The following is a 27,298-nucleotide window of genomic DNA, read 5'->3' as shown; positions in this document are numbered from 1 at the left end:
GTGCTGCACTAGACTAATTCACTGTTTGAGGGACTATCTGTCTCCAGCACAAAGCTTGGTATGTCATAAATGTTTCTTGTGACTGAATGAAAAAGAATTTGAAGTTAAAGCTGAGATACTTTTGGAAACATTTTGTAATTTTGGCTAATTTGTTTTGAATCAGGTTTAAGTGAAGATATTTTGGTAATCTTTGCTTTCTTATAATAACTAACTATGCTTTTTTTGAGATGTCATTTTAACCTTAATTCTTTGAAAGGTATTACTTTACTCTTGCATAGATTTTTTTTGTTAGTTTGTTTTGATCTTATCCCTATGTGTTTCTACTTTTTGGTCCTAATTTTATAAAAATATCCAGGTTGTAGATATATCTGTTAATACGTAAAATGTTGCTTTTTATCAGCAGATTTGACTTTATTTTTCATTTTTCTGCAGTTTTGGGAATATGATTTATAAGGAGAAGCGAGAATCTGTTAGTAAAGAAGATCTGGCAAGAGCTACTTTAGTTACTATCACCAATAACATTGGTTCTGTGGCACGAATGTGTGCTGTTAATGAGGTAAAAAAACAAAAAACACAAAACTTGAATTATCAAAAATGTGAATTGGAGTCCTATATACACCTAGCAGGGCTTCTTCACTTTCCCTAAGGAGGCCTCTGGGATTGAGATGTAACCCATTAAATGCCAAGACTCATTAGGTATATATGTTACGTATCCAGTTGCTATATTACTTTTAAAGAAAGTAGCAGATAATTCAAATTGAAATAGGAGAAATTTATTCAGAATTTTTTTTCAGAAAAACACAACCTAAATCCCTTGAGGATGTAAAAGAAAGTTCTAAGCATAAGACATTTTGAGATACTTTGTGAAAGCATTTTTTTTAGTCTTAATTTTGCATTTGGAAGGCAGCTATGCTCACCACTATACCACCAGTGCTTAATGTTGCATTTGATTAGTGAAATTCTTGGAAGTTTTCTTACTGCCCTCGGCTTCTTTACAGTGCTGCCTTGTTGCATATGGATCAAGCAGCATTGTACAGGGCTATGAAGGCATTGAGACCTGTTCTTCATGATATTTGAGTGGTGTTTATTGTTACAAGAAAAGTGTGAAAAGGATATACTGTTAGATTGACCATATAGTTGGGATTCTTTGTTTGGAAGAGAATATATATATTTAATTCTAGCTTCCTTATATAATAATAGATATATTTGCCCGTTTAATTTTTATAAATATCAAATACTTTAAATGGATTGGGAAGTACGCTTTTCGAAGGAACCCTTCATTTGTTCATTCATTCATTTATTCATTGAGTAAATATTTACTGATTACCAGATGCCAGACATCGTTCTGGGTATTTGGAACATATTAATGAAGAAAACAAAGATCTGGCTTTGTGGAGCTTGCATTCATTCTAGTGACATATTAAGTAAATTGTGTAGTGTGTATTAGGTGATAAGTGCTATTTTTTTAAAAAGAGACCATCAAACAGGATAAAGAGGATTGGGAATAGGGCAGAGAGTGGTAGAGGACAAATTGCTAAGTAATTGAGTGGTTAAAGGAAAGCTTTATTGAAAATGTGATTCTTAGGCAGAGGTTTGAAGGAGGTGAGGGGGAAACTGTGCATGTAGACATTTTGGGGAGAAAGCTTCCAGCAGAGAGAACAAATATGCAAATCCTCTGAATTATTCTGTATTTAAATCCAGAACTTGGTCTCATCAGTTTTTTAATAACTTAGAAACTTAAGTGTTAGTTGGTTGATGGAGTTACTAGTAGACCATGTTGGGAGCTGACAACAATTTGAGACCTTTATTCTTAGCCCTTTATGTCTAAATTTCCACTGACCAATTGAGTTAACAATAATTTAGGCCATGGTTTACAGTATCCCAACTTATGTACAAAGATTTCTACTCAAAAGTCAGTATAGTGTGAGAGTCGAAATAAGTTTTCTGGTGATTCAAACACCAGTTCCCCTTTGTAAGATTTCCTAATCATAGAGATAATCTAAGAAACCAAATTAGTGTGGAATCTTTGCAGAGAGAGAATGATTTGATGAATCAGGCAGGGGACGGAGAAAGAATGCTAGAATCCTAGGGGAATGCACATGCCAGTACCCCAGTCAGTATTACTCTCCAATTCTGTAGAATCCACAGTTGCATGTCATTGTTCAACATGCATTGCAATGTGTGGGCCAAGTTTGCTACTTATCAACTAAATGCATTTTATAGTACTTACCATGTTTTGATTTTTTTTTTTAATCACATCAGTAATGTGTCTCCAAATGACTTTGTAAGGGGGCTATTTATTGGCCATTTTCAAAAACAAATCTCACCTGAAATCATCTGCTAGAGTCTTTCTGGAACCTTTTTTTAAAAGTAGACTTTATTTTTTAGATCAGTTTCAGGTTCACGTAAAATTAAGTGGAAAGCTCAGTGAGTTCCCATATACCACCTTCCATACACACACAGCCCACTTCCATCCTCAGCATCCCATAGTAGAGTGATCATGTGTTACAGTCCATAACCCTGTGCACACATCATCATCACCCAAAGTCCATAATTTAGGGTTCTCTCTTGGTGTTACACATTTTGTGGATTTTGGATGATGTGTGCAGAACTAATTTTTAAATATTCAGGATTATACAGCTATATGCCAGGAATGTAGTAGGTGTTATACTAATAAAGCGTAGTTGTGTTTTTTTGCATTTTAAAATAAATTTTAAATAAATATTTAGAAACCTTTTATATTGTAAAATCTATTATTTTTACAAGTTTTTTCTTTGTTCTTTTCTTTTAGAAAATAAACAGAGTTGTCTTTGTTGGAAACTTTTTACGTGTCAATACCCTCTCAATGAAACTTTTGGCATATGCACTGGATTACTGGTCAAAAGGTCAACTAAAAGCATTGTTTCTAGAACATGAGGTATGGTAGGAAAATGTTTTTTGTGAATTTTAATAGCATGTTTTTTAAGAGACAGGGTCTTGCTCTGTCACTCAGGCTTGAGTTTAGTGGCACAATGATGGCTTACTGCAGCCTCTTCCTCCTGGGCTCATCAATCCTCCCACCTCAGCCTCCCAAGTAGCTGGGACCACAGGTATGCACCACTGTGCCCAGAAAATTTATTTTTATTAATATTTTTTGTGGAGACAGGATCACTCTTTGTTGCCCAGGCTAGTCTGGAACTCCTGGCCTCAAGCAATCCTTTATAGGTGTGAGCCACCATGCCCAGCCTTAAGTAGTAGAATATTGGTTCCTTCGCTTCAGTTTCAGTTGTGGGGAAGAGAATTACAATAACCTGTTAGGCACCCCCAGATTTTTTTGTATTCATTTACTACATGCAGTTAAGTTCTGATCTGAGCAATTATCAGTCCACATAATGTTTTGGATTAACTTAACTTGAATCATTTTGTGATCAAAGTCAAATGGCTGTATCATTACAAATTAGTAACAGAGATTCAAATTATTCTGCTCTTAAAAGCTTCCATGTCTTGGCCGGGTGCGGTGGCTCATGCCTGTAATCCCAGCACTTTGGGAGGCCAAGGCGGACGGATCACGAGGTCAGGAGATCAAGACCATCCTGGCTAACAACGGTGAAACCCCGTCTCTACTAAAAATACAAAAAAAAATTAGCCGGGCGAGGTGGCGGGCGCCTGTAATCCCAGCGACTCGGGAGGCTGAGGCAGGAGAATGGTGTGAACCCCAGGGGGCGGAGCCTGCAGTGAGTCGAGATGGCGCCACTGCACTCCAGCCACTCCAGCCTGGGTGATAGCGAGACTGTCTAAAAAAAAAAAAAAAAAAAAGCTTCCATGTCTCATTGTCACTGCTCACACAATACAAATCAGAATGGTGTGCCCTTGTGCAATTCCACATGGCATGCAGTGAGAGTGTCAGGCACAGCCACAGGAAGTTAGTTTGTTTTATTAAGTAAAGGGGAGAGGGTGCAGAATTGCTGTTACAGTCCTGGAAGCTTTAGTGTCTAAAGGCCACACTTTTAGAATACGTATTTCAGTGTGAGCCTATAGTCCCAGCTATTCAAGAGGCTGAGATGGGAGGACCATGTGAGCCCAGGAATTCAAGGCCAGCCTGGGCAAAATAGTGAGACCATGTCTCTAAAAATAATAATAATAAATAAAAATACATATTTCAAAGGTGTGTAGACATCAAGAATACAGATTCAGAAAATTTTTTATAATAGCTAACAACGCAGAAATTGGTAGGTTTCCAAATATTATTAAACAAATAGATTGTGCATAGTTGTGTGTTCTCAAGTGGTTAATATTATATGCTAACTTAAAAGCTGTACTACATAACAGTTATTTTTAAATTACACAGGGTTACTTTGGAGCAGTTGGTGCACTTCTTGGGCTGCCAAATTTCAGCTAAAGCATCAGGTCTCTCTCTCTGCTAATAAATGTCATCCAAGAGGAACTAAAACCAGAGGCATTATTACTGCATTGTTTGTCACTGGGAACCAAAGGATAAAAGAGTAGCATAAGCTGCTGAATGTTGCCATATTAAAGGAGAGAACTTGGTAACGTGAAGTATTTCTCATTGAAATGCTTTCCCTTTTGTATATAGCCAGTGTTAAATCCTTAAATGCAATACAGCCTCTGATTATTGAGCTTCCTCTTAAAAAGATTTTTTTATTTTATGTAGCCAACATTGCAGTACTGTATGCTCAAACACAAATCTTAAAGTATCGGAACTGTTTAGCTTATGAAAATAATCGACTCTGAATATTTGTTACAAGTCTGTTTTATGTGTTTTGATTACTAGTGAGCAGAAAATAACATACCCTGTATTCAAAATTACTGAAATGGCAATCAAAGATGATCATTTTTATGTGATTTTAGAAATGTTAAGGCAATACTACTAATTATTGTAGGTTTTTTTAACGTATCACCCAAAGCATGTATGTGATCTTTCCCCATTAGTATCTTTTTCTCAAATGCCATAATTAACTGAAATACTATTATTAAATTTTCATGAGAATTCTAAAATGAATCCTGGGAAATGCACGTTTGGTGATGTTGCACTTTCTGTATTTTACAGGAATTAGTCAATACATGTTGAAATGTTTAACATTTTAAGATTGGAGGCTTAATTACTGGGAGTCTGTCTAATGAAGTCCTGGGACTATTGTAATGGAATATGATTTGAGTTCACTGTGCTCTTTTTGTTTGTTTGTTTTGGTCATATATACATTCAGAACTTTTATTTTAAAACAACCACAATAACATTAATAATAGAAAATTCATCTGTAAATATTCACAGTCTAGTCACTGAAAAATGGGAAAACCTCTACCATGCCTTATTATTACCCTTTGCTGTTTGAGGAGCCAGAAATAGAGGTGCAGTTAGAGGACGGTCACTTTTTCCAACAAAACCCACTCCATAGCCATGTGGATTTTTATCCAAAGGCTCAACAACCAGAGGGAATGGTGAGACCTGATAACTAAAATACTGTTATTGGCAAGGGTTTGAAATGTGTAAGAACCTAGGAGGGAAAGGAAGATTGAGCAACATAGGAAAAGGGGAAGAGAGGCTGAGTGTCACCAAGGTCCAAACTCCATTTATAAAAATACTGCAAAACCAGGAGTTGATGGTAGAAATGCATATGATCCATGGCAGGAGTAAATCTCTCCACCTCCTCTAACTCTCTGAAAACTCTAGAGTTGGAGCAAGTCTTCCATTTGCTTCTTATCCCCTTAAAAGAATGCCTTCCACTTCCCAACAGCCCCCATCAAGGGACCCCAAGAGGCCACCATGCTCTTATCTCGCACTTTCTTTCCTATTCCCCTTGCCTGAATCTGGAGTGGGGTTGAGCCCTCTGCCTTCAACCTTAAGATTTAGGAAGTTCTTTCCCCAACTGTCTAACTTGGAAAGGTAGATGAGTCTGAATTTTGAAGTAACGAATGCAAATTCCACTCAGCAGAGGCAATGTTATTTATGTACATAGGGATAGTGGAATGAGTTTTAATAGATTCTGTCCAAAAGGGGTTTGTTCCTCTTATTTCCTCTATGTAGGAAGTTGTGTCTTAGGCAACTTTATCAGTATCAATGGAAAAATGATAGGCACTACAATGAAATGGCAGGATGCCAATATGAGATATTTCAGGAATAATAAGAAATACAGTTTGTTTGTATAAAATAAACTATCTCAAGAAAGTTTTCAACGACAGTGATAGTGTTCATTTGTAAGAGAGAGTTCTAGAACTTCGATGTCCAGTGCAGTAGCCACTACCCATATGTAGCTGTTGAGCATTTGAAATATGGTTAGTCCAAATTGAGATGTGCTCTAAAGGACAATAAAAGGTTAAATATCTCCTAATTTTTTGTATTGATTACATGTTGAAATGTTAACATTGGAAATATTGGGTTAAAGAAAAATACACAATTAAAATGAATCTTGGCCAGGCGCAGTGGCTCACGCCTCTAATCCCAGCACTTTGAGAGGCCAGGGTGGGCAGGTCACCTGAGGTCAGGAGTTCGAGACCAGCCTGGCCAGTGTGGCAAAACCCTGCCTACTAAAAATACAAAAATTAGCCAGGCATGGTGGTGCGCACCTGTAGTCCCAGCTACTTGGGAGGCTGAGGCAGGAGAATTGCTTGAACCCAGGAGGAGGAGGCTGCAGTGAGCTGAGATTGTGCCACTGCACTCCAGCCTGGGCGACAGAGTGAGACTCTGTCTCAAAAAAAAGAATCATCTGTTTCCAATTATTTTTAAATGTGCTTACTAGAAAAGATAAAATCACACATGGTTTACATTTTATTTCTATTAAGACAGCACCGTTAAGAACATAGAGCTTTGAGGAATTGTGGTATTAGAACCAAATCTATTTACCACAGTGAGCTTACAGGGAGTTACTCGAGATCTTAATAAAAAATTATAATCTTTGGCAGCCTTCATTATGATTTTGTGTTCTTATTATTCCAGTACCTCTAGATTACATATGGGAAAAGCTAAAGAGCCACAGTGGTGAGATGGTTGCTCACTCTAGCAGGTAATTTCAGTTTGAAAGGATAAAATATATGAATCATAGTTCACATTAACCAAAGTACAGTGATGAAATAACTTAGACTCTGACCATTCCATTTTTTCTTAAAGATTGCCCTAAATCTATAGATGCTAATACAGTATTTGCCACAGGTATAAAACTTGTAGTTACTGTCATTCAATTAAGATTCTTATCTGTACAGATATACAAATCAGAAACTTTTAAAATAAATTGAACTAATGGAATTTTGGCTCCAATATTTAGTCACTACAATGGAAATATTAAAGCAAGGAACATGAAGTCATTGTAGGGTTTTAAAATGGCTACTGACTGACATGAATTCAGAGTTTCAAACAGTCTAAATTCTAAAAACTTAACTTTACACGCTTTTCCTCCTAAATAACCACTCTAATAATTCATACATTCATATCTTCAGGTAAAGAAAACTGAATTTTAAACAATTGAGGCTGGGTGCAGTGGCTCATGCCTGTAATCGAATATAAGGACTTGAGTATAAAATTTGAAAACTACATGGGGAAATGTCTTTATCATGCATCTCTTGATAGTCTACTGAAAACTATTAAGTAAACCTGCGGTCTGTAAACAAAAAAACCCATAGTGATACTTACCTTGTGTAATGTAAACAATTTTTTAAGCTCTTTAAAGTACATCTAGATTTACTGGTAATGTATAGAAGTCAATTTTATCCCCAAGCATTTCTACTTCCTAAACCATTAGCAAGAGTCTCAAAACAACTTCACTAAACTATTGGACCTCCAGTGTTAACTTGCCAACATAAAAATCTGAAAAACTTTGTAATCACTATCAAAAATACAAAAGAGAGAATAAATTCCCAGGTAAAAGGCTTTACAAATTTTGGAACTATTATGCTTTTGTTTACTAAACACTGATCCTTTTAGTAATTCTGCAGTATTGCCTCAGACTCCCACAAAGTTTCAAAATAGCTCATCTATTAGATTCCTGTAACATTTATTTGGGATAAACGTGGTTTTGTTGCCGTTGTTCATAATAGAATAAAATATTTAGCTTTGATGGTTCAGATGTAATACAAAGAAATAACTAAGTTTGGGCCTGAGATAAATGTGGTAAAGCAAGAATGCAGAGATGCTGTAATGATGAGTGAGTTTTATAGCATTACTGAGGACCTGAAAACTTGCTGCCAAGGACACTTTGAAGGTTTTGTTGGCTGGAAGAAGTGTCTCTGGAATCCCACTCCTAGCTCTTCTTGAATATTTGAAAAGAATTAGATAAGGGCCATGGGGACCCAGGTCACCCCACCTCTTCTTTTCAGTTTGGCTACAACATTGGAGTCATCAGTGCTCCTGAGACAGTCATACAGGACTTTCTCAGTTACACTTTGAAAGAGAGGTCAGAAGACTCTCCCTCTGAGGTTTTGCTCATGTCCCCCTGGCCCTTGTCTGTGGCCATCTTCCCCAATGGTGATATGATTGGCTCCTTTCTGTTGCACTCTTTGTCAACCACTTTGGCAGGTGCAGTTCAATGCTTATCATAATTTGTTGGCTATTACTGGTTGCCTTATGGGATTCTGCAGACAAGCTGAGTTGGTTGAAATGCTGATCCTGGGCCACTAGATTACTGGCTTGTAATGCGGACTCTGCACAAGTTTTGTGCCCATGTACATTGGAGAGATCTCGCCTACTCCCCTTTGGGGTACCTTTAGTGCTCTCAACCAGCTGGACGTCGTTGGTATTCTGGAGATCCAGATCTTTGGTCTGGAGTTCATCTTGGGGTCTGAAGAGCTATGCCCAGTGATACTGGGCTTTACCATCCTTCCAGCTGTCCTATAAAGTGTAGCCCTTCCATTTTGCCCTGGAAGTCGTAAGTTTTTGCTCATTAACAGAAAGGAAGAGTACTAATGAGATCCTTCAGCAATTGTAGGGGACTCAGGATGTGTCCCAGGACATCTAGGAGATAAGAGTGCTAGGATGATACAAGAAAAGCAAGTCACTACACTGGCGCTCTTTAGAGTACCCAGCTACCAACAACCCACTGTCATTTCCATCATGCTCCAGCTCTCTCAGTAGCTCTCTGGAATCAATGTTGTCTTCTATTACTCAATGAGAATCTTCAAGGATGCAGGTGTTGAGAAGCCAATCTATAGATTAGTGCAGGAGTGGTTAATATTATCTTCTTGACTGTAGTCTCTCTGTTTGTGGTTGAAAGGGCAGGAAGGACTTTACATATGATAGGTCTTGAGGCATGGCGTTTTGTTCTGTCCTCATGATTGTTTCTTTGTTATTAAAGGATGAGTATGGTGGGATGAGCTTTGTCTGTAGTGGGGCTATCTTGGTCTTTGTGGCCTTCTCTGAAGTTGGACCAGACTCCGTTCCCTGGAATACTGTGGCCACACTCTTCAGTTTGCAATAGCAGTGGCTGGTTGCTCCAACTGGACCTCCAACTTTCTAGTTGGATTGCTCTTCCTGAACAATTATTATCTAGTTTAAGTGTGTTGTTGCTTTAGGGTCATGGCATGCTTATGTATTTCTGTTACCATCTGACCATGGTACTATGCCAAGTTCTCTTAGGGGACCTGAATCTTTCCAGTAGACCACATTTGAGAGAGTATGAGTCAACTGGGCATAGTTCCCAACAACCCAAAATACATACGTACTTCACTGAAGCAGATCTCATGATTCCATTGACTTCATTTCTAAAATTGGACTTTGAGCAGCCAATTTCTAAGGATTAAAAAGAAACTTTAATGCATTGTAGACCTCTGTACACAGAAAAATCTTTGTAACTTTTGGGCTTAATTTTCATTCTTAAAAAATCTGGTAACTTTTTCAAATGCAACCACTGTCAGTTTGCTGTGAGGCTAGGCAAACAACACAAGGTATAGAATTTCCCATCACCACCACCCTGACCCCGCGAGAAGATTGCCTTTTAATTAGAGACTTGTAGAACTAGTGCCTTTTAAGTTCTACACTCATCTTTTCCAAAGACTATTAGTAAACTTGCCATGTAATTTGACATGGCAGTTCCTTGCTCAGCTACTCTAAATAAAGTTGGAAATTAGGTGGTCTCTTAGTTTGGGTAAAGTCAGTACTATTGCCAGTAATATACATGGTAATTGAAAGCCCTTAAAGTGGTTCAGATTATTTGCCAAATATTAGACTCTATAAAAATTTCTGAGGTTTTTTTTCTTTTACCTTTGAGTGTACATGTGATTGCTATAATGTAAATACCAGTCCCTTAAAGACTGTTTCTATAAGCAGAATGATGCAGCACAAAGTGGAAAGGTTTTCCTCTTATTCCAGCAGTATTCTTGCCTTCAAAGAGTAGTCCATCTTGCCTTGATTTTTAAGGTTGTTTTCTTGGATGGAAAGCTTAACTGGATAGTAATTTCCATATGTTCTTTATAACCACTCTGTATATTATAAGCAAAGTTTTTTCATATTGTATCTTTTTCTGTTGAGCACTTTATGCATTTTAGTCTATTGCATTTGAGAATGTAGTTTAGAAATTCACTGTTTAAAGCCATGTGAAAACTGATAGAGGATAATGAAAATGAGTGTACATTATTTTGAATTTAACTTAACTGTTTTGTGGTGGGTGTGAACAAAACATTAGAAATATATTATCTTTTTGTGATAATACTCTCTGACCTCACTTAAAGTGATCTGCCATGAGGTATCCATGATCAAGTTTATGTTTATTCTAATACCTAAGGAATTCAGCCAACTTTGTTTCTATCATCAGATAATCTCAGAAAATAGTGTGTTTTATCTATATTACTGCCTCTTTTCAATATTTAAGAGAATAATTGTCTTCTGGTTTCTACTGAGCCTAGTAATAATCACTAAAGACCTAAAAAAGGAATTCCTTCTGTTAAGAGTATTTGGATAGCCCATTCACGATAATGGTGGTGTGAAAATCAATCATCCCAGCTTTTCTGACATATCTAAATTTTGAATAATTAATTTCCACTTCCAAAAAATTCAAATGTTTTCTCAAAGCAGTCACTACTTATTTGCATTATTCCTGCATATTCAGTGAATGTGAGGTCATATTTGGTATTGTATTAGAAGTAGTGTTGGTCACTGGTCTTGCCTCTTTGAACATTATTTTTATTTGTAAAATGAGGGAGTTGGTTTGTTATGATGGGAAATGAGTCAGTTTTCAGGGTCCTGAGAAAATTGCTTCATTCATGGCTGTGTTTGAGATAACTAAAGTAAATTTTTTTTCAGGTATTTGGTGTCATGTTTTGGAGTTAATATTTAGTGCTTATATAATTTTAAGTTATTACATAATTTTTATTGGTATATATTTGATAGGTACTAGGTATTGGATTCTCACCAAACCAGTAGAATGGTATTCTCTCTTAATATGTGATTGCCTGTAATGGCCAGGTAGATATACCTTAAAGTAATATGAAAGGTTTTATATGTATATTAAAATGTTTGTACTTTTAAATCTGTAAAGGTTATCTGGAATTTTTACTGTGTTAACTTCAGAATTATATGGGCATTATGACTTTTTCATTGTACAAAAAATTATTCATAAATGTTAGAATACAGATGTTCCTTGACTTACAATAGGGTTATGTTCCAGTAGACCCATTGTAAATTGAAAATACCGTAAGTTGAAAATACATTTAATACGCCTAACCTACTGAACATCCCAGCTTAGCCTAGCCTATCTTAAATGTGTTCTGAACACTTAACGTTGGCCTTTAGCTGGGCAAAATCATCTAATACAAAACCTATTTTATAATGAAGTGTTTAATATCTCAAATAAGAGTATTGTACCACATATCGTTATCCCAGGATAATATCAGAGTACAAAATTTGAAGTACAGTTTTTAACTGAATGTGTATTGCTTTTGCCCCATTATAAAGTTGAAAAACCATAAGTCAAACCATTGTTAAGTCGGACTGTTTGTGTTACATATATTTGGGATTTTTTAGTGGCCCTTTTTAAAAAGCTGTTTCTTATTTCTGATCATTGTGAGTGGGGATAGATGTGGGAAGAACCATGTCTCTACTAAAAATACAAAAAATAGCCAGGCTTGTTGGCACACACCTATAGTCCCAGCTACTCGGGAGACCGAGGCAGGAGAATCACTTGAACCGGGAGGCAGAGGGCAGATCATGCCACTGTATTCCAGCCTGGGCAACAGAGTAAGACTCTGTCTCAAAAATGAATGAATGAATGAATGAACGAATGAATGTACTATGAGCTGATACTGGGATTTCAGGTACCGCAGTTTGTGCTGAATGATATGTTTGGGGTAAATCAGTTTTTTTCTTATAGAATTTCGGCGTTTTTGCTGCAACTGCCACTAATTTTGCATTTAAAAGAACAAAAGAGGAATGTATTTTTCAAAGGAGTGAATGAGGTTAAAATCAAGATTTTGAATGGTATAAATATGCAACTAATTCAGTTGTAGGATATTATTAAATTTTTTATTGCTAAATATGTTTCTTTCATACGTTGCAGTGCTTACAGTTCCAACAGCTTTCCAAGAAAACATTTCCATATTTGTGTTATTTGTAAAGTATACATAAATAATGTAAAATAATTTGGGATTATTTCAACTTTACATTGTATGTCTGAATTTCATCGATGTTGTACCTGGCTCAGTCAATAGTTGTCACAGGTATTAAGCCATTTTGGAATTTGCCACTTTTTTCTGGGTAACCTGTTTTAGTTTAGTTTACAGCATTTAGAAACAGAAGGTAACTTTATAGAAGTAACACCAATATCCTAGTCTGCTTGCCCCGAATATAACTAATAGTATTAGGATGTAAGCAATATTAAGATGGTTTTTATTATTTTTTATACACTGTGTGCTTTTACTTTTTATTTAAACTACAGCAAAAAACTGATTTTTTAACTAAAATTGAATGGCGTTTATCTTAATGACCAGTTATTGACCAAAGTGTACTCAGAAGATGTTATTATGTCCCAATCTAAGGAATCCTTTAATTTGGGGATTAATTTTACTTACACATGCCATTTCAGTTTCAGTTGCCTCATTCTATTACATCATTCTTGTCAAGTCTAAGCTTTATCATGTCTGAATTCTTTTAACACTGAATCTGTGATGTAAAAATGTATGATGTGCCATAAATTTTATTCATAATAAACTAAGTTATAGCCTATTGTAATCTGTAAAACATTTCTTGTAAATTACCTAATTTATTTTTTCATTTATGTACAGTATCTTATGTAAATTTGAAAAATGTTTGCCATGGCGCATTCTGTAAACATTCCCGTATTCTTTTCCTTAATGCTTATTTGCATGAAGGTAACTTGGGTTTTGCTTGTTTGTATTGGATAACCATTAAGCCAACTTCAGTTTCTCTGCCTTTTTTTCTGTAGTTTAACCATTTCTAATTTTGTTCATATTCTAAATAGATGTTAGAATCATACTTTTTATTTTCTACTTTCTAAATAAATTATCTAAGTTGTTTACTATGTGTGCCTTTTTATTATTTAACTTACATATTCCCACATTTTCACTGTGATTAAATGCAAGGTTGTGGTTAGTTCTGTGAGAGCAAGAACTTTGTAAAGTCTTGTTCACCTCTAGATCCCCAGTACCTGGCACAGAGAAGGCATTGATGAAATTCAGGGCTTGCATTTATTAAGATGTGAAAACTTGCCCCCCTGAGACCATGTTATCCTGCATCAGAAATGAATGTTGTTGGCTTTTTGGTTTTGGGTTTGTTTTTGTTTTTGTTTTTATATATAGTCTCTTTGTTGACTGAGCTGGCGTGTAGTAGTGCAGTCATAGCTCACTGCAGCCTCAGCCTCCCAACTAGCTGAGACTACAGGCATGCACCACCATGCCTGGCTATGGTTTTGTTTGTTGGTTAGGTGTTTGTTTCATTTTGTTTGTGTGGTGTGTGTGTGTGTGTGTGTGTGTGTGTGTGTAAATGGGGTTTCGCCATGTTGTCCAGGCTGTTCTCAAACTCCTGGGCTCAAGTGATCCACCCACCTTGGCATCCCAAAGTGTTGGGATTACAGGCTTTATGGAGTATGTGAGATGTTTTGATACAAGCATGCATGTGAATTAAGCACATCATGGAGAATGGAGTATCCATCGCCTGTTAAGTTTGTTTAAAAAAATCATCTTAATATGTGAGGCAGTAAGTTGGAAACTTGATGGCTGTGTTTTCAAATTGTATGATTGTCGTGGCTCCAGGCATAGTTTTCAAATCATATTATTGTCTTTACTTGGAGCGTAGAGGAATAGTTGAAAACGTGAACATGACTACCATGTGACATGTGAAGTACATATCTTTTATTTAAAAAAAATTAGCAAGAACTAGGATGAAAAAAATCTAAGATCTGGACTAAAGGAGAACATGATGCAGTATGGAAGAGATTTGAGGTGTAGTTTAGCTATTCAAATGTAGGAAGTACTGCTGTCGCAAGCACTTAGAAATAAGCTCCTAAAGAGCATACATTCAAGGCTACACACTTAAGTCTTTCATTTAAATAAACTTTCCAAGGAGGGAAAAGTCTGTACTGGAGTCAATACACAGTGCTATATAAATTTTGAAAGTGGCCAGGAGCAGTAGCTCACACCTACAATCCCAGCACTTTGGGAAACCAAGGCAGGTGGATCACTTGAGGCCAGGAATTCGAGACCAGCCTGGCCAATGTGGCAAAACCCCATCTTTACTAAAATTACAAAAGTTAGCTGGGTGTGGTGGTGCACACCTGTAGTTCCAGCTACTGGGGAGGCTGAGGCATGAGAATTGCTTGAACCCAGGAGGTGGAGGTTGCAGTGAGCCAAGATCGTGCCACTGCTCTCCAACCTGGGCGACAGAGCGAAACTCTGTCTCGAAAAAAATAAATTTTGAAAGCAGGATGTCTACTTTCTATGATATAGTCCTTAATGAGTGTATTGTGTACTGAACAAACTTTAATATTTCTGCATTTAAAAATCTATTGATCATTTTCTATGGTAATACTATAAGTTCCTATTTTAAGATATTCCTATACATCTGGTTTTGGTGGGTGGAGAGGAGTTTAAGATTTGACTTTTTCCCTAAAGTAAACCTGGAAAACCTGACTAGCTTCTGGAACTTTACATCCTTTTCATAGAAAATTGGTACTTTCTGATAGTTTTTAATGTTACCCAGAGGTTAACAATACCCCAAAAGTGCAGTTGACCATATGTTTAGGTAAGTAAGTGCTTATCCCCAGCCAGGGCTTTAAACATAACCTTTACAGTTTCTGGAAACAGTAGCAAAAATTACCAAAACTATGAAGGCATATTCTTTTTGATTTAAGCCCATTTTCCTCATTTTCTTCTAGCAAGAGTTTGGAGTCCAGCCAACCCAGATTTCTTTGAAAACAAAAAAACACAAAACATTAAATGATACCACTAAAAGAATTCAAGCACCTGGCCAGGCGCAGTGGCTGACTCCTGTAATCCCAACACTTTGGGAGGCCCAGGCGGGTGAATCACGAAGTCGGGAGATCAAGACCGTCCCGGCTAACACGGTGAAACCCTGTCTCTACTGAAAATACAAAAAAATTAGCCAGGCGTGGTGGTGGGCACCTGTAGTCCCAGCTACTTGGGAGGCTGAGGCAGGAGAATGGCATGAACCCGGGAGGCGGAGCTTGCACTGAGCCTAGATCTGTGCCACCGCACTCCAGTTTGGGTGACCGAGCGAGACTCCATCTCAAAAAAAAAAAAGAATTCAAGCAGCTGAACTTGAAAAAAGTAACTTGGCCCTCCATATCTGTGAGTTACACATCTACAGATTCAGCCAACTGTGAATTGAAAACATTTGAAACAAAAAATAATACAACAATAAAAATAATATATGGAAGCTTGATGAGAACACCTGGACACAAAGGAGAATGACAGAAACTGGGGCCTACTTGAGGGTGGAAGCTGGGAGGAGGGAGAGGATCAGAAAAATATCTATTGGGTACTAGGCCTAGTACCTGGGTGATGAAATAATCTGTACAATAAACTCCTGTAACATGAGTTAATCTGTATAACCTGCACATGCACCCTGGAACCTAAAATAAAAGTTTAAAAAATAATGCAAGTAAAAAATACAGTATAACAGCTATTTGCAATGTATTAGGTATTAAAAATAAGGATAATTTAAAGTATATAGGAGTTCCCTAGCAAGCAGACTCAGAAGGGGAAAAAAACCATATAGGAGGATGTGTAGGTTATATACAAATACTACGCACTTTATATAATGGACTTGAGCATTCATGAATTTTGGTATCTGCAGAAGTTCCTGGAACCAATCTTCCATGGATAGAGAGACAATTGCACGTCATATAGCAGCTTTTTTAGTTGTCTCATTTTGACAGTTTGAATAAAATATTCTGACACCTTGTGTTTTCAGATTTCCTAAAGCACCTTTGCAGGTTTTCGGGACAAACCTGCAAAGTTTATTACTTCAAAAATGATTTCAGTGAATTTGTAATTAATCTTGCTGATTTTGGTTTAGTTTTGGGTTTGGACCTATTTATAATCAATTTTATTGAGGTATGGCTTATACATTAATATTCTAACTGTACATTTAAATAAGTTTGATAAATGTGTACACCCATGTAACCACCACTCCAAGGTATTTGCATCATTCCAAAAAGTTCCCTTCCTCCATCTTAGTCAGTCCCCTCCCATCCCCATCTGTAAGCAGCCACTGATTCGCTCTAGATAAAATTTGTCTTTTCTAGAGTTTTTATGTAGATATGTAGACTACATAAAAAGTCTTATGTAGACTAGATAAAATTTGTCTTTTCTAGAGTTTTTATGTAAATGGACCAATACAGTAGATATTCCCAATCTCTCTTTCTCTCCCAGCCCTAGACTTCATAGAGCTACTGTCTACTTTCTGTCCCTATAGATTTGCTGTGTTGTGTACTCTTGGGTCTGCTTCCTCTCAGCATAATGGTTTTGAGGTTAATCTATATTGTTATCAGTACTTCATTCCTTTTTACTGCTCATTAATAGTCCATTGGATGAATATACTACAATTTGTTTATCCATTCGCTTGTACATTTACATGCAAGTCTTTGGGTGGACCTATGTTTTTATCTGGGATAAATAGTGAAATTGCTGGATTGTATGGTAACTCTGTAAGAAAATGGAAAACAGTTTCCAAGAGGTTCCATTTTACATTCACTCCAGCAGTGTCTGAGAGTTCCACTTGCTCTGAATCCATGTCAACAATTGGTATTGTCCGTCTTTTAAATTGTGGCCATTCTTACCTGTGTGTCATATGGTCTGTCTGTGCTTTTAATTTGTGTCTCCTTGATTACTGATGACATTGAGCATCTTTTCAGATCCTTATTGGCCTTTCATATATATCTTCTTTTATAAAGACAAAATCTTTTGCCCATTTTTCATTGAGTTGTCTTGTTACTGACTTGTAAGAGTTCTTCATATATTCTAGTTAGAAGTCCTTTGTTGGATATATATTTGAATAGTTTCTCCAAATTTATGGCTTATCTGTTTATTTTCTTAATACTATTTTGAGGAACAGAGCTTCATCTTGTTGAAGTCCAGCTTCTTATGCTTACACTTTTTGTGTCCTAAGAAATCTTCGCCTAATCAAGATCATGGATATTTTCTCCTGTTTTATTCTAGGCAATTTGTAGTTTTAATTTTTATCTTTCAGCCTATAATCAATCAATCTTTGTGTATGGTATGAGGTAAGGGTTCAGGGTTTTTGTTTTGTTTTGTTTTGTTTTTTTGCATGTGGATTTACGGTTGTTTCAGTATCATTTGTTGAAAGTATCCCTTCTTTTTGGTTGTGTGGGTCCAGGAGCTGGAGGAAGACAGGGAGGAAACCTGTGGGTGTGGTGGATGTATTCATTACACTGTGATACTTTCATATGGGCGGGTATATATAGCAGAACTCATCAAATTGTCCTTTTTTTTCTTTTTCTCTGTGGTCCAGGCTGGAGTGCAGTGGCGCTATCTCAGCTCACTGCAATCTCCGCCTCCCAGGTTCAAGCAATTCTTGTGCCTCTGCCTCCCAAGTAGCTGGGATTACAGGTGCCTGCCACCACGACGGGCTAATTTTTGTATTTTTAGTAGATAGGGGATTTTACCATGTTAGTCAGGCTGTCTCGAACTCCCGACCTAAGGTGATCCGCCCACCTCAGCCTCCTAAAGTGTTGGGATTATAGGCATGAGCCACGGCACCCAGCCCAATTGTCTTTTAAATATGTGTGGTGTATTGTACATTGATTATACCTCAATAAAGCTCTTCTACAAAGATACAAAATAAACATTTATACTTGTGTCAACAAATTCAATTCTCTTCTCACCCTGATTATGAAATTTATGGTTTGACCCATTCTAGGCAAGCAAGTCAAACTAAATTATTGACATTCTGTTTTTTCTTGGGTTCATTTCCAATATGCTATTTTATTTATTTATTTATTTAGAGACAAAAGTCTCTCTCTGTCACCCAGGATGGAGTGCTGTGGTGCGATCTCAGCTCACTGCTACCTCCGCCTCCCTGGTTCAAGCGATTCTCCTGCCTCAGCCTCCCGAGTAGCTGGGATTACAGATGCGCATCACCATGCCTGGCTAATTTTTTTTAAAATTATTATTATTATACTTTTTAAGTTTTAAGTTACATGTGCACAATGTGCAGGTTAGTTACATATGTATATGTGTGCCGTGCTGGTGTGCTGCACCCATTAACTCATCATTTAGCATTAGATATATCTCCTAATGCTATCCCTCCCCCCTCCCCCCACCCCACAACAGTCCCCAGAGTGTGATGTTCCCCTTCCTGTGTCCATGTGTTCTCATTGTTCAATTCCCATCTATGAGTGAGAACATGCGGTGTTTGGTTTTTTTGTCCTTGCAATAGTTTATGGAGAATGATGATTTCCAATTTCATCCATGTCCCTACAAAGGACATGAACTCATCATTTTTTATGGCTGCATAGTATTCCATGGTGTATATTTGCCACATTTTCTTAATCCAGTCTATCACTGTTGGACATTTGGGTTGGTTCCAAGTCTTTGCTATTGTGAATAGTGCCGCAATAAACATACGTGTGCATGAGTCTTTATAGCAGCATGATTTATAGTCCTTTGGGTATATACCCAGTAATGGGATGGCTGGGTCAAATGGTATCTAGAAAACCCCATCATCTCAGCCCAAAATCTCCTTAAGCTGATAAGCAACTTCAGCAAAGTCTCAGGATACAAAATCAATGCACAAAAATCACAAGCATTCTTATACACCAATAAAAGACAAACAGAGAGCCAAATCATGAGTGAACTCCCATTCACAATTGCTTCAAAGACAATAAAATACCTAGGAATCCAACTTACAAGGGACGTGAAGGACCTCTTCAAGGAGAACTACAAACCACTGCTCAATGAAATAAAAGAAGATACAAACAAATGGAAGAACATTCCATGCTCATGGGTAGGAAGAATCAATATCGTGAAGATGGCCATACTGCCCAAGGTAATTTATAGATTCAATGCCATCCCCATCAAGCTACCAATGACTTTCTTCAGAGAATTGGAAAAAACTACTTTAAAGTTCACGTGGAACCAAAAAAGAGCCCACATCACCAAGTCAATCCTAAGCCAAAAGAACAAAGCTGGAGGCATCACGCTACCTGACTTCAAACTATACTACAAGGCTACAGTAACGAAAACAGCATGATACTGGTACCAAAACAGAGATATAGATCAATGGAACAGAACAGAGTCCTCAGAAATAATGCCGCATATCTACAACTATCTGATCTTTGACAAACCTGAGAAAAACAAGCAATGGGGAAAGGATTCCCTATTTAATAAATGGTGCTGGGAAAACTGGCTAGCCATATGTAGAAAGCTGAAACTGGATCCCTTCCTTACACCTTATACAAAAATTAATTCAAGATGGATTAAAGACTTAAACATTAGACCTAAAACCATAAAAACCCTAGAAGAAAACCTAGGCATTACCATTCAGGACATAGGCATGGGCAAGGATTTCATGTCTAAAACACCAAAAGCAATGGCAACAAAAGCCAAAATTGACAAATGGGATCTAATTAAACTAAAGAGCTTCTGCACAGCAAAAGAAACTACCATCAGAGTGAACAGGCAACCTACAAAATGGGAGAAAATTTTCACAACCTACTCATCTGACAAAGGGCTAATATCCAGAATCTACAGTGAACTCAAACAAATTTACAAGAAAAAAAACAAACAACCCCATCAAAAAGTGGGCAAAGGATATGAACAGACACTTCTCAGAAGAAGACATTTATGCAGCCAAAAGACACATGAAAAAATGCTCATCATCACTGGCCATCAGAGAAATGCAAATCAAAACCACAATGAGATACCATCTCACACCAGTTAGAATGGCAATCATTAAAAAGTCAGGAAACAACAGGTGCTGGAGAGGATGTGGAGAAATAGGAACACTTTTACACTGTTGGTGGGACTGTAAACTAGTTCAACCATTGTGGAAGTCAGTGTGGCGATTCCTCAGGGATCTAGAACTAGAAATGCCTGGCTAATTTTTGTATTTTTAATAGAGACACGGTTTTGCCATGTGGGCCAAGCTGGTCTCGAACTCCTGACCTCAAGTGATCTGCCTGCCTTGGCCTCCCAAAGTGCTGGGATTACAGGCGTGAGCCACCGTGCCTAGCTCTATAATGCTACTTTAGTCTAAACTCTTCTCAATGTCGTGAAGAAAAAATGGCCATCCTGAATCTTTTTTTTTTTTTTTTTTTGAAACAGGGTCTCATTCTTTCACCCAGGCTAGATTGCAGTGGCACGGTATCATGATTCACTGCAGCCTCAAACTCCCAGGCTCAAGCTGTCCTTCCACCTCAGCCTCCTGAGTATCTGGGACCATAGTTACGCACCACCATATGCAGCTAATTTTTTAAATTTACTTTTTGCAGAAATAGGGTTTCCCTATGTGACTCAGGCTGGTCTCAAACTCCTGGGCTCAAGTGATCTGCCCATCTTGTCCTCCCAAAGTGTTGGGATTACAGGCATGAGCCACCACGTCCGGCCCTGAATCTTTTTTTAAGAGACAGAGTCTCACTATATTGTCCAGGCTGGCCTCCCAACTCCTGAGCTCAAGCGATCCTCTCACCTCAGCCTTCCAACTAGCTGGGACTACAGGCATGCCCCACCACACCCAGCTATCCTGAATCTTAAAAAGACTCTTATCGTCTAAGAGCAAACTTCAAATTAGAGGTGCCCTAGGATTTTTCACATATCAAGAGCCAGTGACCAGCCAAACTTGGGAACAGAGAATCCAAGAGTTAGCAGGAATCTCACAGACTGCTGAATCAAACTCAAGATTTGTTTATAGGGAGGACAAAAAGTCCAGAGAAGTCAACTAGATTGTCCTAGATCACACAGCAAGTTATTAAGAGAACCAAAACTCAACCCTAGGTGTCCTCACCTCCATCCCAGTGCTTTTTTTTAATACCCTCTTTGTATTGGACAAATGGCATATGGCACCAGAATGTTATCCAAATAAATAATTTGGAACTGGGCGCAGTGGCTTACACTTGTAATTCCAGCTTTTTGGGAGACCAAGGCAGGAGGATTGCTTGAGCCCAGGATTTCAAGACCACCCAGGGCAATATAGTGAGACCTTGTCTACAAAAAATTTAAAAATTAGCTGGTGATGCCTGCCTGTGGTCCCAGCTACTAGGGAGGCTGAGGTGGGAGGATCATTTGAACCCAGGAGGCATAGGTTGCAGTGAGCCCAGATTGCACCACTGTACTTCAGCCTGGGCAGCAGAACAAGACCCTGTCTCAGAAATAATAATAATAATAAATTTTGTTATAACAAGAAAGAGCAATCAATACAGAAAAAGCAGGACAATTTAAATGTGGAAAAAACCAGAAAGATGAAAATATTAATGGGCCAAACTTGCCAGTTAGAGGAGTGTGAGATTTGAGTTTAAAAGGAAAACAACTTCTAGGCCAGGCACAGTGGTTCATGCCTATAATCCCAGTGCTTTGGGAGGTCAAAGCAGGAGGACCACTTGAGGCTGGGAATTCAAGAGCTACACAGGCAACATAGCAAGACCTTGTCTCAAAAAAAAAAAAAAAAATTAGCTGGGTGTGGTGGCACATACCTGTAGTCCCCAGCACTTTGGGAGGCCAAGCCAGGCAGATCACTTGAGGTCAGGAGTTTGAGACCAGCCTGGCCAACATGGCAAAACCCCATGTCTACTAAAAATACAAAAATCAGCTGGGCATGGTGGTGCATGTCTGTAATCCCAGCTACTCAGGAGGCTTAGGCACGAGAACCACTTGATCCAGGGTGGAGGATGCACTGAGCCGAGATCACACCACTGCACTCCAGCCTGGGTGACAGAACAAGACCCTGTCTCAAAAAAACAAAACAAAACAAAAATATTCTGGAGCATGAGTTCAAATCCTACTCTGACATAATTACTAGGCATAAAGTCTCAGACAAATTCTTAACCTGTGCCTTACCACATGCAAAATGAGGCTAATAATAGTATCTTCTGATGGTGGTCATTCATGTTCAGCACGGATTTCAATAAACCGCTTTTTAGCTACATGGTAGGATTGTGCTTGCTGGCTCCCTTGCAGTTGAGAGGGTGGGTTCATAGGATTAGCTCTGGCCAACTAGTGAGTGAGAGTTGTGTTTGGAAGTGGTGCATGCTACTTTTTGGCTGGAGCACTTAGTCACCTATTTGATACCCTCCAGAGCCCTCTTTTCCTGCTAATAGAAGCCAGCAGCCTTTGAGATAGTGGCTGCTCTGTCAGCCTGGATCCCTAAGTGACAAAAATTAGCAAAGCTCCTTTCTCCTCACTCCCTCACCACATTAATGAAGGTGGAGTATAAGGAAGAAAACAAACTGTTTTTTTACACCACAGATTTAGGGGTTTGTTACCCCAGCATAACCTGGCCTATCCCAACTGATACAGAAGTTGATACCAGAGATGGAATGCCACTGAAGAACAAAAACCTAAACTATGTGGCATTGGATTAGAGGCTGGCAGCAGGTGGCAAAGAAGGTGTTTTCAGAGGCTAGAAGGATGCTGTTCATTTAGGAAGAGGTGAACCTGATGACATGATACCTTGGAAGGTAGGTCATGAACCAATGAACCTGTGGCATTAAGAGAAGCTGGCAAACATTGTTAGTAGCTGGTATTGGCAGCTTTGTTTCCATTTGATGATTTTCTCCAAGAAAGAGGTAGGTTCGGGAAAGGACTGGCCAGTTTGCAAGCAAAAATGAAGGGAAAGAGGGATAAGTGTAATGTAAGGAAGTGATTATAATGATGGACCATGAAATCTCAGCCAGGCGAGGAGGGAAATGAGGACAATGGGAATTTATTGAAGGGATGGTGAAAAGATGGTGGATTGGTGGATCGAAGTCCTCATGGGTTAAGTAACTGTTGGATTTGGGGTTCCCAGAGGCAGTGAGATGGAAAGATGAGTGGGAAGGAAGGACTTTTGGGTGGGAGAAGACTAAAATCACATGAAGAGGTAAGAAAGACAGTGTTTTCCATCAAAACTACTTCAGGTTCTTCCTCAGCTCTTGTCCAATGTTTCTGGAAGCCTTCCTGTGTGGCCCAGATTAAAAAAAACAACAACAAAAACTGCCAAACACAATGGCTATTACAAGCAGCTAGAATTCTTGCATTGTGTTTTCAGGCACCTGAGTCCTCCAGGCAGGAAGCAGAGGCTCGGCTGGAGGCAGTGGGATGGGAAGGATGATAGGTGTGTCCTGAGCAGTAGACATGCGGCTTGGTGGTCACCAGGGGATGGAAGAGGCAAACATGAGAAATAAGTGAAAAGTGCGAAGGCAAGATTTAGAGAGAAGTTCATAAAATGCTTTTGCTCAAGAGACCAAAAAACCAACTGAAGTACTGGGAGCCTGTACTTACAGTCTGTAGAAGGTAAACCCCAAGGGCTCCGGCTCCTGGCCAGCACCTATGTGTGATGTTTTTAGGCCGGACCAAAGGCTTTCCCTGGCAGTCCTCAGGAGGACCCTGGTGCACTGCAGTCTCTGAAGGGAGTTGCAGTCAAGGACTCAGTCCCCTCCCCTGCTCATGCTCTGCATCTTCGTTTCTGGGTCCCACTATCCGAGGCCTTGGGCATAGGCCATCAAGAGGGCAAAAGCCTGAAGATGCTGTTCCCCACTAACTCAGTACTTCTCTGCTCCTACCCCTTCCTCCTCACCCTCCTCACCTCAGGGCCCAAGAAACTGCCAGTCTTTCGTTGGGGGCTCCTTCAATACTGAGACAACCCTGACTGGGCTGATCGACTTGGCCCTTGCCGGGTGCGCCATTCCACGGGGGAAAATGGAACGGGCAATCAGTGCTTTCTCTATTTCAGTCTCTTGCTTATACTATCACAGTGACTGCAGACTTAATACTTGCATTTTGAGCTCCTGGCTTCACTGGTGCCTCTGTTGCCTGTCAGCTCAGCTCTCTCTCTAACAAACATCCTCAGCATGCAGTGTGCAGTCAGGTGACCAAAGAACAGGAGTAGCAAGAACTTTGTTTTTAGGCCCTGACTTCAATCATTGGCCTTGGTGGAATCTCTGGGAGCATCCTCTGTTGTCAAAGAGGCCCCAAGTACCAGCAGGCACCGCAGAAATGCTCAGCTGTTGTCTTCCAGTTATTCAAAATACCATCCTAAATCTGCCTTTCCCAGCTGATGACAAAAATGATACAGCATTTTCAATAGTGGGCCTCAGTCCTGGCTGTACCTTAGAATCACGTGGGGAGCTTATAAAAATACCAATGCCAGGCCTTTCCCTAGAGCATCTGATTGTAATTTCACTGACTTAGACCAGAGATGCAATTCTGCTCCAGAAATCTCAGCTCTCCCGCCCTCCAGCTACACTACCTTGACTGACTGACATCACCTAGAATTCTGAGCCTCAGTTTCCTCATCAGTGATACAGGGATGATAACACTTGCCTCCTGGGGGTGCTGTGCGTGCGGATTCAGTGAAAGAAGGTGCATGGAAGCACCCCGCATGCAGTGTCTTCATCAAGAATACTAACCAAGAGCTGTAATGTCAGAAGGAGCTTCCTGTGAGTCGATGGGCCTGGAAGGACTCCTGGGAAGGGGTAGACTTTGCATCTTCATAGAGGAATGCTGAGACTGGATGGGTGGACAGGCAAAGGGGACACTCTTAGTCATTGGCAACTGGGCCCCTGTGCTGGGCCCCTGTTCTGGGCCCAGCACTTTTTTTTTTTTCTTTTGAGACAGAGTCTCACTCTGTAGCCCAAGCTGGAGTGCAGTGGCACAATCTCGGCTCACTGCAACCTCCACCTCCCAGGCTCAAGGGATTCTCATGCCTCAGCCTCCCGAGTAGCTGGGACTACAGGCACGCACCACCATGCCCAGCTAATTTTTTGTATTTTAGTAGAGACGGGGTTTTGCCATGTTGCCCAGAGTGGTCATGAACTCCTGAGCTCAGGCGATCTGCCCACCTCTGTCTCCCAAAGTGCTGGGATTACAGGCATGAGCCACCGTACCTGGCCTCCTGCACTTTAAAAGACTGCACTCTGGCCAGGCACGGTGGGTCATGCCTGTAATTCCAGCACTTTGGGAGGCCGAGGCGGGTGGATCACCTGAGGTCAGGAGTTTGAGACCAGCCTGACCAACATGGAGAAACCCCATCTCCGCTAAAAATACAAAATTAGCCAGGTGTGGTGGCACATGCCTGTAATCCCAGCTACTAGGGAGGCTGAGGCAGGAGAATCTCTTGAACCTGGGAGGTGAAGGTTGCGGTGAGCCGAGATCATGCCATTGCACTCCAGCCTGGGCAACAAGAGCGAAACTCCGTCTCAAAAAAAAAAAAAAAAAAGAAAGAAAGAAAGAAAGACTGCACTCTGGCCTTCCTCTGTCTGTTCCTTGTCCTGTGAGGCAAGGAGTCCATAGGGACCAAGTGCCATGCCCCCCAGAAGCCACATCTCTCACCTTCTGGATTATGCATCAGGCACTCAGAACTCTGCCTGAACAATGCAAGCCCTATTCCAGTCCTCCTCCCCAGGCTGGTCCCCCAGAGAGACCCTGCTCCCAGCTTGCAACTCTAGTCCCAAGGAGTGGCTTCAAGGAGGCTGTTTGAAGGGCCTGGGTACGGATCCTGGACTGGAGGGCTGAGTATCTACAGCAGTGTGCATGAGGCCCCTCCAGGGGTGGGAACCAGGAGTGGGAAGAGAAAGGGGAAGCCATGGGCCAGGGTCCTTACAAATGCTCTTGCTCCCTGCCACACAAATGCTAGGGGCAGCTCTGACACCAGTGTTCATTTTGCAGCAATTCATCAAGTGGAATGTTAGTGTCGGCACTTTCTGGAATGTTTGTTTTTGTTATTAATTTAAAAATCATGAGGCCGGGCACGGTGGCTCATGTCTGTAATCCCAGCAGTTTGGAAGGCTGAGGTGGGTGGATCTCTTTAGGTCAGGAGTTCGAGACCAGCCTGGCCAACATGGTGAAACCCTGTCTCTACTAAAAAAATACAAAAATTAGGTTGGGGATGGTGGTGGGTGCCTGTAGTCCCAGCTACTTGGGAGGCTGAGGCAGGAGAATCACTTGAACCTGGGAGGAGGAGGTTGCAGTGAACTGAGATTGTGCTACTGCACTCCAGCCTGGGTGACAGAGCGAAACCCCTGTCGCAAAAAAAAAAAAAAAAAAGTCGTACTTCTAAAGATCAAAGAAATACTGAGTTTTCTGCCTGGGACATGATAAGTGCTTGATAAATATTAGAGTAGCAGTATCCAATGTAGTGCTCACCATAGCTCAGATGAGCCAGAACATCTTGCTTAATGCAGGGTTGGCAGGGGAAAGTGCTAATTAATGGAACATGGTTTCTTCTTCCCATTTAAAACAGCCTCTTTTGGATAAAGCTTCATTCCCTCGGATCTTCTCCTGCCCCATTCTTTTTCCCTTCACCTCAGGAGGCATCTGAGCGAGGGAGAAGCTGGCAGACATCATGGTGCTGGTGGATGGGAGTTCTATTCCGCCTGTTCTCTGAGGCTTCTGCTGACGCTGTGGACACATGGCCCCTCTTGCCTGGCCTTTGAGCACCAGCCTCCACCCTCGCTGCCTCTGCTGCAGAGGTGACTGCAGCCAGGCACTCACTGATGCTTGGGTTGAGTCCTCTCCCGTGGCCCAGGATGGAGCCGCTGACTCTGAAACTCAGTGGCAAGCTCCCCCCAGCTCCCAGCACAGGGCAGTCCCCTCAGAAGACTTGCTAAGTGTGTTCCCCACCCCCTCGACTCCAAGGCAACCCCTGGCATTTATGTAAACTTTTATTTATTTACTTATTTATTCTGAGACAGTG

The 27,298-nt window shown here is 39.9% G+C and overlaps 1 protein-coding gene, 2 non-coding genes and 1 pseudogene across 3 annotated transcripts in view, besides 1 other annotated feature; 3 read left to right on the top strand and 1 right to left on the bottom strand.

Moving 5' to 3' along the window:
- The window catches only part of PANK3 (pantothenate kinase 3), a 30,874-nt gene extending 17,420 nt beyond the window's left edge, over positions 1 to 13,454 (top strand). Inside the window, exons 5-7 of the mRNA NM_024594.4 lie at positions 433 to 556; positions 2,792 to 2,917; positions 4,328 to 13,454. Of these exons, the coding sequence (NP_078870.1) occupies positions 433 to 556; positions 2,792 to 2,917; positions 4,328 to 4,378 (301 nt within the window). The 3' untranslated portion in view covers positions 4,379 to 13,454. The remainder of the gene's footprint in view (positions 1 to 432; positions 557 to 2,791; positions 2,918 to 4,327) is intronic.
- Positions 976 to 1,053, top strand: MIR103A1 (microRNA 103a-1). Its single transcript, NR_029520.1, has one exon. It is a non-coding gene; the product is annotated as a microRNA 103a-1 (primary transcript).
- Positions 984 to 1,045, bottom strand: MIR103B1 (microRNA 103b-1). The gene has a single exon (NR_031721.1). It is a non-coding gene; the product is annotated as a microRNA 103b-1 (primary transcript).
- Positions 8,296 to 9,455, top strand: SLC2A3P1 (solute carrier family 2 member 3 pseudogene 1; annotated as a pseudogene).
- Positions 25,477 to 25,977: an enhancer, noted in NCBI's record as "H3K27ac hESC enhancer chr5:167962977-167963477 (GRCh37/hg19 assembly coordinates)". NCBI's record gives its function as "activates a minimal SCP1, AML or CMV promoter by ChIP-STARR-seq in naive H9 embryonic stem cells {active_cell/tissue: H9 hESC(naive)}" and the evidence as "EXISTENCE:reporter gene assay evidence [ECO:0000049][PMID:30033119]".

Source organism: Homo sapiens, chromosome 5, assembly GCF_000001405.40.
Source record: "Homo sapiens chromosome 5, GRCh38.p14 Primary Assembly".
NCBI lineage: Eukaryota > Metazoa > Chordata > Mammalia > Primates > Hominidae > Homo > Homo sapiens.
This window is presented reverse-complemented; position numbering and strand designations above follow the sequence as displayed.